Here is a 17026-nt window from a genome sequence, read left to right as displayed (position 1 = left end):
ACCCTGTCTCAAAAAATAAAATAAAACTAAACTAAACTAAACTAAAATAAAATAGGATAACCAGGCCAGTCAGAGGAGGGAGCAGGGAAGTGAGTGAGCAGCACTTGCTCACTTTGTGTTTGTGATTTGTGCTAGTGAGGTTTTCTTTTCAGGGAAGATAAGAATTGTTAGCAAGAGAGATCTGGTGAGGAAGTAATCCTTCCGGGTGTGCACATCCAGCAACTCTCTGATGCGGCTTCATGGCTGCTGGGTTCAACCTGGAAACCTCAGGTCTTTAGAGCTGGACCTTTACACAATTCACTTAATTGCAGGAGTTGGCCACTCAGTACTGATTATGCACTCATTGTTGTTACTTTTTGAAAGTTGTCTCATCAGCAGGTCCACTTGCAGTATATGTTAATATAGATTTAAACGCCTTGGCTGGGGAGTTCCTGATATTACTTTTTAAACCTACTGTGATTTCCAAAGCATAGCTCATCATGGTCAACTCAGGCCTCATAATTATAGCCACTTGTTTAAATAATGTATATGTTGAATTAACATTTTATAGATGAGGAAATAGGCTCTGAAAAGTTAGAGAAAAAAAAGCAGCATCTCTATTAGGTATATTTTACCTATTTTTGTTTGTTTTTGAAATGGAGTCTCGCTCTGTCACCCAGGCTGGAGTGCAATGGTGCGATCTCAGCTCACTGCGACCTCCACCTCCTGGGTTCAGGCGATTCTCCTGCCTCAGCCTCCTGAACTACAGGTGCGTGCCATCACGCCCGGCTAATTTTTTGTAGTTTTAGTAGAGATGGGGCTTCACCATGTTAGCCAGGATGATCTTGGTCTCCTGACTTCGTGATCTGCCTGCTTTGGCCTCCCAAAGTGCTGTGTTTACAGGCATGGGCCACTGCGCCTGGCCTATTTTACCTAATTTTTAACATGGCACTAAGGAGGTGGTGACACTATCCCCCTGTAATAAATAAGGAGACTGAGGTTTAGATGGGAAGCAACAGGTCCAGGGCACAGATCCCATAAGCAGAAGAGCTTATGGTTCTCTCTTGTTCCAGGAAGTCTTAGCAGTATGCTTTATTCTCTCGCGCCTCAAAGCTCATTGGATGGCAGGTGACAGAGACTCGTAAAGGTCTTCTCTTCACCACTCCTATCCTCCAACACGTACTCCTTTCTTCACAGGATAGACATTTGTGAGACATCCTATTCACTTTTCCTAGCTCTTGGCAGCCCATGGTGTTATAGACAGCTCCACATATGAGGAACTTTTCAAACATTTTTGGATATTGGCCCCAAATCTATTTCTCTTTGACTCTAATTCATGTTTCTAAAAGTTAGTCCTTGAGGTTATAGAAACCAATCTAATATATCTTCCTTGTTGCTGCCCTTCAAATATTCAAGGACATGTGTGGCATTCCTCCTCTTCCTTTGATCTCCTGGATCCTTCAACCATCCATCCTAAGACGTGGGTGACTTTACGATCCTTCCCAAAGCTGACTGCATACTCTAAAGGCTATGCCACAGAAAGGGCAGGGCCTTTGGATTCAGGCCTGTCTTGGTGTGAACGCTGGGTCATGTGAGGTGAATAGGCGGCCTCCCCTCCCAGAGTCTATTTCCTCCTCTGTGAAGCAGGGGCAGCAATCCCAGTGTCACGCTGACACGCCAGGCACGTGGTGTGGCAGTCGGCACCACAAGCTTGCTACTTCAGTGTCAGCCACCCTCCCAGCTGAGCGTTCCTGAGCATCTCCATGTTTCTTTCTTAGAGCCCCAGTCTGTGGGCCTTTTGTCCTGAAGTCATATCTTATCCTGTAGCCGTAACATCAGAGGTAGGCACATCCCCAGTAGGCGCCACAGTGTTTAGTGGAAGAACACAGGCTGTGCACAAAGCCCAGCCCCCGCCACAACCATACCCAACACCTGTTCCTCTCTCTTCTTCCAGATGGACACATTTGCAGATTTTGATACTATGACGGATCGGTTATTGGATGAAATCATTCAACACATTCAGTTGTACAACCTCTCCATATCCCGAATTAGGTAAAAGGAAACCACAGGTAGTTAATGCTGGGGGAAGAGGGGGGACATTTTTGAGTGTTTGCTGTATAAAAGCAATAATATGATGCCTTCTGTATACCACTGAGCTAAGCTAACTTGTGACTTTTAATAAATTACTTTTAAAGCAGAAGTAAGTACCAGGTCTGGCGTACACATTCATCTCTGCCATAGTTTGTGTCAGGGAGAATAAAAATTTTGTAGTTCTGTAGAAAGAGTCTTGGACTTAAAACAAAAATTCCTAGGTTTGAATTCTTGTTCTAACACTCACAAGTTGGAATCTTGTTTCTTGCCATGTACCAGATATATAACCTTTTGCAAGGTTTCTAAACCTCTAAACCTCTGTTTTCTTATCTATTAAGAGGAACTAGCACTGAGATGATGTTTGAAAAAGGCCGGGCGCGGTGGCTCACACCTGTAATCCCAGCACTTTGGGAGGCTGAGGCGGGCGGATCACGAGGTCAGGAGATCGAGACCATCCTGGCTAACACAGGGAAACCCCATCTCTACTAAAAACACAAAAATATTAGCTGGGAGTGGTGGCGGGCACCTGCAGTCCCAGCTACTCAGGAGGCTGACGCAGGAGAATGGCGTGAACCTGGGAGGCAGAGCTTGCAGTGAGCCGAGATTATTGCGCCACTGCACTCCAGCCTGGGCGACAGAGTGAGACTCCATCTCAAAAAAAAAAAAAAAAAAAAAAAAAAAAAAGAAGAAGCAGAATGAGTTGCCCACCCCAAAGAGAGAGTTTCAATCAGCACTACTTTTATTCTTACACTGTACCAAATGTTTCAGTGACGACAGTGCTAGTAAGCAGCTTGCATTTTTCATGCAATTGAATATGTAGACATAGTGCTAATCCCTTGATATACATTATCCCATTTAGTCTTCATATACAAAATATTACTTCTTTATTCCACAAATGAAGCCTATAGAGGTTAGATTTTTAAAAAAAAGAATAAAAGAAAAGCTAGGTGAGGCAGTTTCATAGGGTGACACTGATTTCTTTTCTTGGATGGTTTTATGCTCATCATGAGTAGAGGTGGGGAGGTATAGCCTCTCATATAATAGGCTCTCAATAAATAAGTATTTAACTTGAGAATAATGATTCATTGAACACGTGGGCCTGTGAGTAGCAGTATGGCTGGAGCAGAGCCTGCAGGAGGGGGTCTAACAGCATGGGCTGTGAGCAGGTGGTTCAATATATACACAGCGGGTGAAGGAGAGGATGAATGGCATTGTGAGGCCATCCGTATATGAATGGCCTCCCAAGCAGGATAAGGACTTGGGACTTGATCCTGTGAATGACCAGGAGATTTCAATGCTCAGAGGTGCATTTCAGGAAGGACCTTCCCTTCCCCCAGGTGGAATTAAAGCAGGCTGCTCTAGCAGCATGAAGCTGGCTGAAATGCCCACACTTCTCCCCTGACTGGGCACAAAGCTCCCATTCACAAAGACCCCATCTCAGGCTTCTCATGGCCAGTGTTTTGAAACCTGATGAGGTTGAGTTGGCAGTCCCTGTTCTCTTTGCCAGTTCCCCTACATTCAGTGGGAGGTGGAGAACAATGGCCCCTGATGCTTCCAGCACTGCACTCTTGGGCAGCAGCATTCACCGTCACACTCATGGGTACCCCTTCTGTTTCTCCACAGCTTCATTGGCCATTCTCTTGGCAACATCATCATCCGATCGGTCCTCACACGGCCCCGGTTCCGGTATTACCTCAACAAACTCCACACGTTCCTGTCACTCTCTGGGCCTCACCTGGGAACCCTGTACAACAACAGCACCCTGGTTAGTACAGGTAAGATTCTTCTAGGACTCGTCATTCCTCAGAATTAATCTGGGGCCTCTGGGGCGTGAAACCGGGCACAGGTACTTCCACTTGGAACCCTGTGACTGTGCAGTCTTTTCCAAGCATGGCATGGAGGGAGGAGTCCTGGCCTTAGAGGTGTGGCCCTTGTGTCTGGGGGCTGAGTGAGGTGACACTAGATGTTTTCCAGGATCATTTCTGCCTTCAAATTTCTGTGAAAAAAAGGCAATGTCTCTGGGGTCCTGGTTGGAAAAGACTGACAAGACACGGTGTTGTGATGAAGAGAACAGGGACTCTGAATCAGGCCACCTGCATGACAAACCTGTGGTTAAGTCCTGACCAGGACACTTGAGGGAGACTGTGGCCTAGACATTTAATCTCTGTGCTCCTCAGTCTTCCTGTTTGTAAAATGGAGGTTATGTGTGTGTGTATCTGTGTTTGTGTATATGTATGTATACATATATGTATGTGTACAAGCATGTACACAATGTAAGTATGTATACATATATATGGTGTGTAGGTGCATATGTGCATATGTGTATCATAGAATTGTTGAAGATTACACAGGGGAAGGAAATAAGGTTGACTAACATCTATGGGAGGTTAAATATATCAGCAAGAGTCAGACAAAGAAGGACCTCGACTGACTCCAGAATATGTTAGACTTACCCTGTAGACCTTGTAGATACTACTCATGAGATTTTACTGAGGAGGTGACATGGTTTGGTGTATGGAAGCCCAAGGAGGGCATTGAGTTTTATATGTAATAACAAATCGTTTATTAAATCATGTTCTTAACAACTACCTCAGTAGTCCCTGATTGTTCAAACCCATTATGTGGCATTAGGGTCACCCCTGATAAGCTTCCTTGTCCCTGCAATCTTCCAGGCCTCTGCCACTGTCCCCTGTCCTCTCCCACACTAACGTTGTTTCCTCATGGCCTGGTCAGTTTAGTTAGTTTGCTTTTAAGTTATTTTATGGCATACTTGTGAACATGAGTTATCCGACACAATGGCACATAACAAATGGAAGTCCTTTCCTCTGCACTCTGTCTTTCCTCCCAAACCAAGGAAGCCATTCTTTGGACAGAAACAAATTTGTTAAACTACATTTTTCCCCCACAGTTATAAAGGAATCTTGCAGCATCATAAAATATTTTTTAAAAAGACAGACTTTACCAATAATATCTCCAATCTAGCATATCCAGAGTAATTTTATATATTTCATTCTACTTATCTTTGTGCACACACATTGACGTAGCAGTCAGTGTAATATATGTACATACCATAGCTTGCTTATTTCCTTGTGTTTCTATCAGATTAATTTGCTTGTTGTGGTTATGTAATCCTTACACTCATCAATGTTAGTGTTTGCCTAAGCTTAGCTAAACGCATGAGATTTTTGTTGTTGTTGTTGTTTTTTGAGAGAGAGTCTTGCTTTTGTCGCCCAGGCTGGAATGCAATGGTGCAATCTCGACTCACTGCAAGCTCTGCCTCCCAGGTTCAAGCAATTCTTCTGCCTCAGCCTCCCAAGTAGCTGGGATTACAGGTGCCTGCCACCATGCCTGGCTAATTTTTTAATAGAGTCGGGATTTCACCATTTTATCCAGGCTGGTCTCGAACTCCTGACCTCAGGTGATCCACCCGCCTCGGTCTGCCAAAGTGCTGGGATTACAGGCATGAGCCACCATGCCCAGCCAACAGATGAGTTGTGAAGTGAGACATTTATTTTAGCTTTACTGTATCCTAAATGTATCTGTAAGGATCATTTTATATTCTTTTCGCATTGAAAATTATTACCCTAGGCTTCTTTTTCGGAAGGAGATTGACTGGATTGAAGAGTGTGGGTAGTTTCTTACTCCGAAGGCTGTTGTCCTGTCATCATTTTTGCAGGATGATTTAAGTCCTTTCCACCAGTACGTGAGAGGACAAATTTACCTCTAACTTCCCAACTATTTGCTAGTATGCCTACTTCTCTCTTATTTTCAAGTTAACTAAAATTCAGTTTAACGTTCATCTCACCAAAATTCCATCCCAGTTAGTTTTTGTTTTGTTTTGTGTTTTTGATTTTTATTTTGTTTTTGTCTTCCTAGGCTTATGGCTCATGCAGAAACTGAAGAAATCCGGGTCTCTACTGCAGCTGACCTTCAGGGATAATGCTGATTTGCGCAAATGTTTCCTCTACCAACTAAGCCAAAAAACAGGTCAGTGGTTTCCCCCACAGCTGCAGTTATGAGTTTGAGCTTGGGATTCAACTCCTGAGACACAAATGAGATATAATGCTACATTGATTCACTCACAGAAGGGCCTAGTCAGGAGGCCCAGCACTCAAAGCCTCTTTGGCTCATTGGGAGGCCAACAGCTACCAGGAACTCAGCTCCTCTTGCCCATTGCCCATATGGCACGTGAGAGATTGAGCCAAGGTGTGTGTAAGATCATTTCAATAGCCAGAAGCTGTAGCTTCCACTTTGTGCCAGTTTTTCAATGTTCTCATTGCATAGGCCTAAGATCTGTGTGCCAGCTTCACCCAGGTACAGGCCCATCTACAAAAAAGGCAGATGCAACATTTTCCACTGATGTTGACTGTGCAGTGGGAGACGGGGGTCATTGTCAGGCAGGCCTGCTATGATACCTGCACCCTCTCTCTGTCATGTGGAAGTGCATAGAGGTGTTGAAGACCCTACCTGCTACATGGGAATGTCCACAGAGGACAGCAGTAATGGTGATCATTGCCGAGTGGTCCCCATGTCCAGTCGGCGAGTGGAGCAGCTGACTGATTGCCCTGCTCAGTCCCACCACACAAGCTGGCCTGGCCCAGGGTCTGTTCTTGGTCACAATCTTCCACCGTCCTGTAAACACTGACTCTGCTGATCCCTCTGTGCCTGTGAATCTGGTGTAGCCACGGGCTCATCTGTGAGCCTGGCTGAGTTCCTTTCCTACTTTCTGCCTCTGTGTGTTGAGTTGAGCTCTTAGAGCTATCTCCTGTGGAGGAGGAGGAGGGAGGCAGGGCTTGGCAGAAGAAGGTGGGACTGCAGTGTGATCACTGTAGAGTCCATCAGGGGTGCAGGAGCTGGGGTGGCCCTGGAGAGCTGTCCTGAAGGAAGGGGAGGGGCTGACCATTACACCTTTGTCTTCCTCGCCCATGTATTGGCCAGCTGTTGAAGTAGGCTGCCCCCAATGTGTGATGTCTGATGAGGGGACCCACACTTCAGTAGGGCACACATAGCTAAGAGCTGACAGCCGCCCACCCAGCAGGATCTGGGGAATGAGAAGGACAGTCTCAGTACAGATGGAGTGTCCGGGTAGTCTGCAGTGCTCAGGAAGTTCACGATGGGCTCTGAGGCCTGCAGGGATACACTGTGATGTTTAATTTGAAGGGTCCCTCTGTCTGCATTGTGGGGACAGATTGCAGGAAGGCAAGACTGGCTGCAGAGAGGTGAGTTCTGAGGCTGTTTTCCTAAAGCATGGGACGTGGTGAAGGCTGGAATTAGGAGAGGTGCTGGAGTTGAGGAGGAAGAACAAGATAGTCAGACTGACTTTTCCTTATGAACCCCTTAATATTTCTATCCCCAAAAGGCTTTTTTGGTCCCATTCTAGTTGCTTATTTCTCTGTGTCCAGAGTAGCTTTCTGTGTGTCTCCTTAGCTTTCATGGCTGATGAGAGCAGGCTTCATCTCCCCTCACAAACGCAAAGCCCCTGCTTAGTGACTTCTTTTCTCAACCTCCCATAGGCCCCCGCGATACCTCTATGCCATCTGCTGTGCATTGTTAAACCTCAGGACAGAATGTCCTTGTGTGATGACACTAGTGTGTGGTGTGTCAACATTTTTTCTCTCTATAGGACAAGTCTGGAAATTTGTGCAAATTTCCAGAGGGTGTTGAAGTTGAAACTACCTGGGTAAAAAGCACTCATCTGGCTAATTTTTACAGGGCTGCAGTATTTTAAAAACGTCGTGCTGGTTGCTTCTCCCCAAGACCGTTATGTGCCATTTCATTCAGCCAGGATTGAAATGTGTAAAACTGCCCTCAAAGACAGACACACAGGTAAGCTACATTTAATTTTTGCTCAGGGACTTTCTAATTTGAAAAGCAAAAGTAAATTCATGGAATTGACTGCCTATTGGGAACACCTGGGCTATAGGTTTAGTGCTGCATTTATCTTAGCTTAGTGATAGGACAAACATAGCTCATCTCGATGTTACTGTGCCAGATCCTTCCTTTGTGTAATAAACAGTCACATGTTTATTAGATTATGAAACTTCTGTTCAGTCCTATTGTGTGCCAGCCACTGAAATTGATGACTGGGATGTATAATTCAATGAGACAGGCCCTGCCCTCAAGGGGCACATTGTCTAGTTGGAGCCTCGACAAGTAATAGCAATGAGAGTAAAATGTGATAAGTCAAAAAATAAAATAATGCCTAAGGCATTAAGGCAGCCCAGAAGTGGAACAGGACATAGGACAGAGTCAGACGAGGATCCCTGGAGATGACAATGAGTTAGGTTTTAAAGGATAGGTAGGAATTTTCCAGACAATCAAGATGGATGTGGGCTGGCATTTGTGGTTTCCTTTGGTTAATTTGTTTAATTGTTTTTTTTTAAAAACATGTTTTTAGCTTTTAATTTTGAAACAATTTTATACTCAAAAAATGTTGCAACAACAGTACAAAAAATTCCTGCATACGTTTCACTCTGATGCCCAATATTAGCATCTTACATAACCATTGTACCATTATCAAAATCAGAAAATTAATACTGATTCAATATTATTATCTAATTTCTAGACCTTATCTAAATTATGTCAGTGTCCACTAATGTCCCCTTTCTCTTCCAGAATCCAATCTAATTTGTATATTTCTATGTCAGGCATATTGATTATTTTTTAAGTAAATAGTAGTTTTGTTATATTTTAAGGTACTATCAAAAAATAGTGTACCAAAGGTCCAAAGATTTGGTGCTAATATATAATTGGGTCTATTCCAAATTTTCCCTGGTATCTAGAAAATCCAACAGGAATTTTGATGAAAAAATTTTTAAAAATTAGTTTTAATACATAAAATAGCATTGTGTTTTATACCATCTAGTATATGTAATGAAAAGTAACACAGGGCATATTCTAAAATGATTCTTTTTTTCTGATTAAAAACATTATAGAATATTTGAAAAAGTCAAACTCATTTACATAATTTATGATCCTTTCTAACTCCACCTCTATCACTACCTACTTTTCGTGTTCTTCTAGTCTGTCTCTTCATGTGTGTTCATGATAAATGTTATAATTTTGTGTCATGATTTGATTTAGAGTAATATAGTTATTTGTCCATGTTAATAAAATATCATAAATACAAACACATTTTAATAATTATAGACTATATGCATATACCATAATTTAACAACTTCTCAATTACTGCACATAGAGCTTGCTTCTGGAAGGTTTCCTTTTTAGTTATTATGTGATGAAAGACTTTGCATGTGTAAACTTTTAATACATCTATGGTATTTCATTAAAATCGATTTCTAGTAGTGGTATTATTGGAGGAAAATGTTAATGAGTTACTACTCTTAAAGTTTTTTGCCAAATTCCCTTCTAAAATATTGATACCAGCAACACGTGTACTGTTAGAGTATATTCGTGCCTGCCTATCTCACTCTACTGTCTCTCAGATTAAATATTAATTTAAAGATATTTGCTTATAATTTTTCAGCCTGAATTTTTAAATATTGATGCTTTTTTATGTATATTTTTAATCCATTTTTAAATATTTTCTAATTGCCCATGGGACATCATTATATGCTAAGACCTGTGACAATAAATAAAGAGTCAATGATCTGGTTTTCAGTTCAGACTTGACTAAACATAGCTGTGGTCAATAGACAGCCAAACTGTTTCTTTGTGCAGGGATTTGCTAATTTTCCTTGCCTACTTTCTTGTCTCCCTGACATAGAGAAATATTTTTGTTGACATTTCAACCTTGGTAAAGCCTTAAGAACAGAGTTCAACAACTATGGTCCACAAGCCAAATTCAACCCATCTCTCATTTTGTAAATAAAGTTTTATTGAAACATAGCCACACCCATCATTTACATATTGTATATGGCTGCTTTCACGCTAGAATTCAGAATTATGTTGAGTAGTTACACTGCGCGTCCTGGAAAGCCTTAAATATTTACAGAGAAAGTCTGACAACTCCTGCTCTAGCATAGCAAATTGTATTTATTATGGGCCGGGCACAATTCATGCGCTTTGCTTATCTTATTTGATATTCACAATGGCCATTTAAGGAAAAGGGAGTGTATCTTCAAAGGATATTAATATATGACTTAAATTGATTAATCTTCCTGTTAGTCATCTTAAGAAAAAATCGCCCTCTCTTTTGTTAAACTTATATTTTCTGTTACATTTTTACACGGACATCAAAGAAGTGTGGCTTAATTGGTGAATTAAACAGATTGGGAGACTTGATATGAAGTTTAGTTTATACATGATTATCACTTTTTTTTTTCTGGAAGAAGTACCAATATTTTTATTTTTCAAAAATTCTGAAATAAAATACCTCTCAACCTCTCTGACTTCACATAACCTTCCAATTTATTCTCTACATTGTCATGTAGATAATTTGCCCCTATCCCAAAAGTCCATCAATTTAAAAACAGTGCTGTATTTGAGAAAACATATAAGAGTTTGCTATAAATGTTAAAAAATATACCAGTGATTGCCTCCAGGGCTTATGAAACCAATCAAGGTCTCAGCAGAAAATGATCTGGTTGAGTAATCACTACATTTTGAGTGACTTTTTTCTTTAAATAAATGACCTTCTGACCTTTATTGCATATACAATTTAAACAAATTATGGTATTTGTGTAACAATATATGCTTCTATTTCCATTTATTGGCAACATTTATTCATTATTCTTGTTATTACATAATATTCACATACATCATTTAAAAAATATTATTACGTAATGTTCATAAACATCATTTTAAAGGAGCACAGAATTGTTTAGCCCACAAAGCATGGTTTACTTAACTATTCCTCTGATGCTGAATTTGGCTGACCTCCCTTTTCCCTTGGAAGGACTATTTCATACATAAAATTACTGTGGCATAACCTCACATCATATTATTGCCTGTTGTAATGACCGCTACTCTAAGACATTAATGGGCTCTTGGGAATGACCATACCATTTGTTTTAACCCCAAATTCTTTTTAGCTGAATTGACATGGCTACAACGAAATCCCTAATTATTTCAATTTCACGTTACAATTCCCTTTACGTCAAAGCTCCTACCAAGACCCTAAGAAGGGGGGGAAAAGAAACACCCCCAAATACATACCCCATGCGTGATGGGGGGGTCCAGCTGTCCATCCCAGTCTGGGAAAGCAGACCTCTAAGTACTCTCCCCTGCTGATAACTGGAGGGAAAAGGAAAACGGTGTTGAGTTCCTTCACGTGGCATGAGAGAGTGTCCAGAGTGAGGCTGTGGACTGTTAAACTCAGAATAAGCTCTCTTTCATCATCCAAAGTGACTGCTCTACTGGCTTTGTAAAACAGACCCGGTTGTTTGGAGTGGGTACCCAGAAGCTCACCTGACTTACAACTTCCAATTACTGTCTCCCCAGTTGGTCAAAAGTAAAATATCCCAGCTCTCAGGATCATTCCAGAAAGTGTCTGTCAATGATACAAAAGTTGTCATAAACAGTTTTTCAGAAAAGAAGAACACAGGGCTGGGAGATATGAATCGTAGATCCAGGTGTGCAAATCTATCTATTGTTCAGCAATTCAATTGCACTGCATGGCTCCAAGACCTCCATGGCCTGAAGCAAAATTGCAACTGTGTCACTTTCAGGTGGAAACAGTCAATTCAGACTAACAATTGTAAAAACAAAACAAACCAACATAAAGAAAACTGCATTCTCCTTCTTTGGAATCAGAGGAGTCGGGTGAAATGCCACATGGCTTCCATTATGCATGACATCAGAAAATGTCTGCTTTCAATTCTCTATTGAGCTGTGTTTCCAACCCCCAAGATCCCCTGAAATAGAACTTGAAACTCTGAGGGTCCTCTCTGGTGTTGGCCTCCTTCTCTGCTACCCTGCTGGGAGGTACAGCTATTATTGAGAAACACGAACACTGCTATCATAACTTCCGGTGCATGGGTTCATAAAGCCGCTATTAGGAATCCCCTTCTGACTTCTGGCTATTGTCATCTGACTAGAAAAAGAGAACTTTGATTTTATTTCATATTAATTTCACTAACATTAGGAAGAGGTTGGAAACTGCTGTATAACAGGTCTGCCCAGGAACAGAATTTCGACACACATCTAGTGATGTTCTCTAGATTCCACTGCTAATTTCTGCACCAGCTTCATGTCCTTCTTCCCCACTTTACAGGGCCAGTTTATGCAGAAATGATCAACAACCTCCTGGGCCCTCTGGTTGAAGCCAAGGACTGCACTTTAATCCGACACAACGTGTTCCACGCCCTGCCCAACACTGCCAACACCCTGATCGGCCGAGCCGCTCACATCGCTGTGCTGGATTCAGAACTCTTCCTGGAGAAGTTTTTCTTGGTGGCAGGACTCAACTACTTCAAGTAGTGGCTTTGAGGGAGCAGGTCTTTGGTAATGCTTACGATCGGTGGAGAGCTTTAGCTGAGACCTGCTTTTACAGACCTCACCATTTCAGAATGAAGCTTCAACAGCATTGGGGGACGGAGGCTCGGGTGGAACCTGACATGAGAGGTGCTTTTGTTTTGGAGATTCGAGAAAGCTGAGCAAATAGACTAAATGACAACAAACTTTGCTTGAATTTGTATAGTTACCTGGAGTGTCATTCAAGATGTTTTCTAGGAAAAATATGAGAGAATAAACAGAATACTTGGGAGTTGGTGAGCTCCCCTTGCTAGCCACTACTGGCTTACTGAGAGATTACTCCAATTTAACTAGACTTGCCGAATATGTTACTAGCTTATAGCTTTATCATTTCTGATTAAGTGCACACAAGCATTTCAGAACTCAGGTTAATCTCTGTGCAGCAGTGGAACATATTTGTGTAAATAGAATCCTCAATAGATTCAAATGTGTCAGTTGTTCAAGAAAATGTGATGCCCATATTCATATTCTCTCCTCATGTTTTCTAAACAAGGGAGCAAGGAATGTGTTACAAATCCCAGTTCTATTTCATAACAGCAGTGAGCAGGGTGACTTAAGGTAAAGAGGGATAAAGGTGACACTATTGGTAAATACAAGTTTGTTACAAAGAAACATGACTCTAGGGACATACTGAACTATGAATAGTTGCTCCACCTACTTCCCCAGAATTCTTCTATGCAGAGCCCTGATCCACAAATTATTTTAGTGATTGCTTACATCTTTGTCTGTAGTAGGGAACACTGAGTGAGACTAACCTAGCAGAAGGGGGCACTGAGATGAATGCACACACGTGTGAAGCTCCTGCTGATACACTTCCAAAGACATGCTATGTTAGCATTTGATGCAATTGCAAAAAATTAAATCCATTAAAGTGGCCAGCTGCTTCTCCTCTCCATGGAAGGAGGAAAACATCTAAATGGAGGAGTGCTGGATTAAAACCTCAGGGGAGCTCTAAGAAGGGTGCTGGCTATCTTTCAATAGAAATGTCTTCTTGCCTTAGGAAAATAAAGGGCTAGGAAAGGTCACTGCGTTGATAAAAACCAATAGACGACAGGGACAAAAGTGAGATCAGATAGGAGGAGAACAACCAGACTGAAGACTCAACATAAGCTGTTATTGGTAAGTGACTCAAAGGGGAGTTTTGAAAATTACCAGGATGTTTAATAGTCAGGTCTCAAAGACTGAGTATGTTGTATGGGCTAAAGTAAGCCTAAAGAATCATTTCGTTGTATGGAAGAGATGAATGAACCTGGACAGTAGGGATAAGTAAGACAGGAGCCTAATCTTTTGGAGATGAAAGCTCCTGCTTCTGCAAAAATCCCTTCTGAAGTGTGGAAACGCATCTAGGACCAGGGTTCTCAATACCTAGACCATGACTCTAGGTCACTGATGCCATGGTAACAAAACCAAGTAAATCTAAGCTCATTTGAGAATTTTAGATCCTCTTATGTTAACAATGTGACTTTGAAAAATAAAAGCAGACCATGGGAATGAGTCCAGATGGGCAGCTTTGCAGGAGTGTAGACATGTGGTATTCTTTTGAAGAAAGAGAGGGTCGTTGAGGGAGAGTTGAATGTCTTGCAAAGGCAGAGTTCCACACAATGGATTTAGGGTTTCTCAGTGAGTCCTTTCTAAATGCTTGTTATATCCTGGTCATAATGCATATGGGTTCACTGAGTCCTCTGGTCACTTTCCACTGGGGATTTTTATCTGAGCTCCCGAGTCAGAGCTGGGCATAGACTCTGGTTCTTCATGAGGAGTGCTGTATTTGCTCTGTAACCTGGGAGACATTTGTTCCCTAGTCGTGCAGCACATGGTATTGTGTTTCCTGACCTAGGCAAGTGCCCATGCTCAGTACAGAACCATAAGTTGGTAGCAGCTTCTCCTTTCTGGCCAAATGATGGGCCCTGTCCCTCTGATGAGTGCATTTCATGTTGTGTTTCCAATTTTCATCAGCAATGTTCGTCATTCCCTGGTCCTTTGAAAGACTGTGTAGCCCGCGGTTATGGAGCCGGGATGAATCTGATGATCATCATCTTCTCCAATAACCAGATGCCATTTTTAACTTCAATATGCTGTCTGGACATAGTGAGAACTAATGGCAATAAACGTCCAGCTGCATGGTGCACCTCTTTTTTATAGGGGTGCTCTGCTGTCTTTGTAAACCCTCTCTGGCCTCTGAGCATCTATTATAATTGTGTAGAAAGTACATCTCTATATTGTAAATAAGAGTGTCGAGTGTTGCGTGTCATGCCTCATTTGAAAAGGCTTTTTTATGTCTCTTTCTATTGAAATATAGATATCGAATATATAAATATATATACATAAAATATATATAAATATATATTATGTAAAACAGGGACATTCTATTATTGATTGTAAAAATTATAAACAAAATGCCTGCCAAGATAATGGTCTTGTATGTCTTCATTCTCTGCGTAATTTTTGTTTTTGTTTTTATGATTTGTTGTTTCCCAAAATGAGTTAGAAATAAAAATGCCCAATATTGAGATTAATTGGAATTTGTTGTTTATAAGCCAAATAAATCCAGGGAAGCAGGTATGAACCCAAAGTCATCTTGTAGCAAAACAAATACCCCAATGGCAGTTTGAAAGCAGAGGGAGTGCTGTGAACCTGAGAGAAGGTGAAGACGGAAAAGCCCCCTGTTGGCTTCCACAATTCACAGGTATCTACTGAGCAGCTTCCATCCATCTGTGCCAGATGGGAGCACAGAGGTAAAATGCACAGTCCATGCTGACCAGGAACTCCAGGGAGATCCGGTCTTATCATCACAATGGGATATAACAAAAGCGCTAAGGAAGGCCGGGGCTGGTGCTCCTTGGTCCTAGGTATCCACTCCTTATTGCCTGGGGAAGGCCAGGAAGGAAGCGTTGAGAGTGAGACTTGAAAGGTGAGACTATTTACCTTGCACAGCCCGTCACCCCAGTGTGCACTCTTCCATTATATCATTCATTCATTCATCTGGCGAGTTTGTCTTGAGGACCTACTCTGTGCCAGGGATGCATTGGTAAAACTTAGTAGCTTACCATCTAGCAAGGAACACAGCTGATCAAATGGGAAATCGAAGTGGGTGGCCCCACAGAAGGGGTATGGTTCTGTGTGTGCTCAGAGCAGGGGCATCCACCTACAGCAGGGATGTGGGGTAGAGATGGTCAGGAAAGGCCTTTGGGAGGGTTTGGTGTCTAAGCCGAGACCCGAAGGCTGAGTAGGAGCCGGCTCGGCGAAGGTGGGTTATGTGGATCCCTCCAAGAGGGACAGAATGAGCAGAGGGCTTCAGGCGAGAGCTGAGGGCTGGGAACCTTTGACCACTGCAAAGGCAGATGGAGAATATGGTTGAGCACAAAAGTAGCAAAACAGAGGTGTGAGAAGTCAGCTGCCATGCAGGATTTTCTTCTTCTATCAGGAGGAAATTTCCATTGTTAACACTAGCAGGACAATTTCCACTTGGTAAGGAGAGCCCCTGGGAGAGCAAGGCCTGCCCCTGCCATCATGTGTCGCTCCATGCTTCACCCTCTGCTAGAGATCTGATCCCTCCTGTCTTGGGAGAAGTCCAGCCACATCCTCCACCATCACTCATTTCTGAAATTTTCTTTTGAGAAGCATAGTAGACATGTCTGCTGGGCTTCTCATGGAGAAAAACTGTAACAAATGGCATTATATAAACAGGCTAAGAAGAGGGAATAGTCATTTGGTTAAAATTTTTTTTTTTAATGCATGGAAGCAATAAAGTGAAATTCTTGTATTGGTATTTAAGGTGATCACACAAGCTGCTTTTGATCATAAAAATTTTATAAAGAAAGTTATTCAATCCTCAGCTTACAGTTAAGCAGTCTGCAGCCCCCACAAGCTTGGGGTAACTTAGTCAAAACTATAGTCCTTCCTTCGGCCACAAATGTTTCCTAATAGCCTGGCACAAGCCAGGTGTTGGTCGTAAAGCTAAAATAAAATAAAATAATCTTCCCATCCTGATGGAGGGTATACATGCAAGGGGAAAGTAGACAGAGAGCAGAAAGTTATAGGCACAGTGAGTGTGGCCAAGCCCATGTCCAGAAGGAGCTTTGGGAGAAACCAACAGGGAGATCACCCATGTAGTACATGAATGGCAAAGAACACACTATAAATAATGGCACATAACCAAGGTGTTTCTGTAAAGAAGAAAAATAGCCTTTAAAAGTGCTAGGAGGCGAACAAGTGTTCAGCTGGCTCTCGCTGTGTAAGATGATGGCATCTCTCTCTACGCACATGGCTACTTATTTGAAAGCTTGCATTCAGGTATTTGCAAGCTCCTGAATGTAATTGCTACTTTTTTTCCCCCATGCCATTAGCTTTGGTTTCACAGCATATATTTCTGAGCATTAGAAATAACCAGGGCTGCTAGGGACAGTTGTGGGGGTCCTGAAGGAAAAAAGAAGTGTGGCCATGGCAAAGAACACATAGAACAACAATTACGCTTTCTGTTAATTTTCTCGCAAGGCACCCATCCCAATATAGCATTACACGC

At 42.1% G+C, this 17026-nt stretch overlaps 1 protein-coding gene across 18 annotated transcripts in view; it reads left to right on the top strand.

Annotated features, from left to right (window-relative positions):
• The window catches only part of FAM135B (family with sequence similarity 135 member B), a 367708-nt gene extending 352688 nt beyond the window's left edge, over nucleotides 1-15020 (top strand). For 15 of the 18 annotated variants that reach the window (NM_001362965.2, NM_015912.4, XM_011517062.2 and 12 more), the window contains 5 exons: nucleotides 1934-2031; nucleotides 3694-3845; nucleotides 5947-6057; nucleotides 7783-7896; nucleotides 12245-15020. In NM_001362965.2, coding sequence (NP_001349894.1) covers nucleotides 1934-2031; nucleotides 3694-3845; nucleotides 5947-6057; nucleotides 7783-7896; nucleotides 12245-12450 — 681 coding nt within the window. In that variant the 3' untranslated portion in view covers nucleotides 12451-15020. The other 3 variants (XM_047421814.1, XM_011517070.3, XM_047421813.1) reach the window with 2 other exon arrangements.
• The last annotated feature ends 2006 nt before the right edge of the window (nucleotides 15021-17026 follow it).

The sequence above is a fragment of the Homo sapiens genome, chromosome 8 (genome assembly GCF_000001405.40).
Source record: "Homo sapiens chromosome 8, GRCh38.p14 Primary Assembly".
NCBI classification, from domain to species: Eukaryota; Metazoa; Chordata; class Mammalia; order Primates; family Hominidae; genus Homo; species Homo sapiens.
This window is presented reverse-complemented; position numbering and strand designations above follow the sequence as displayed.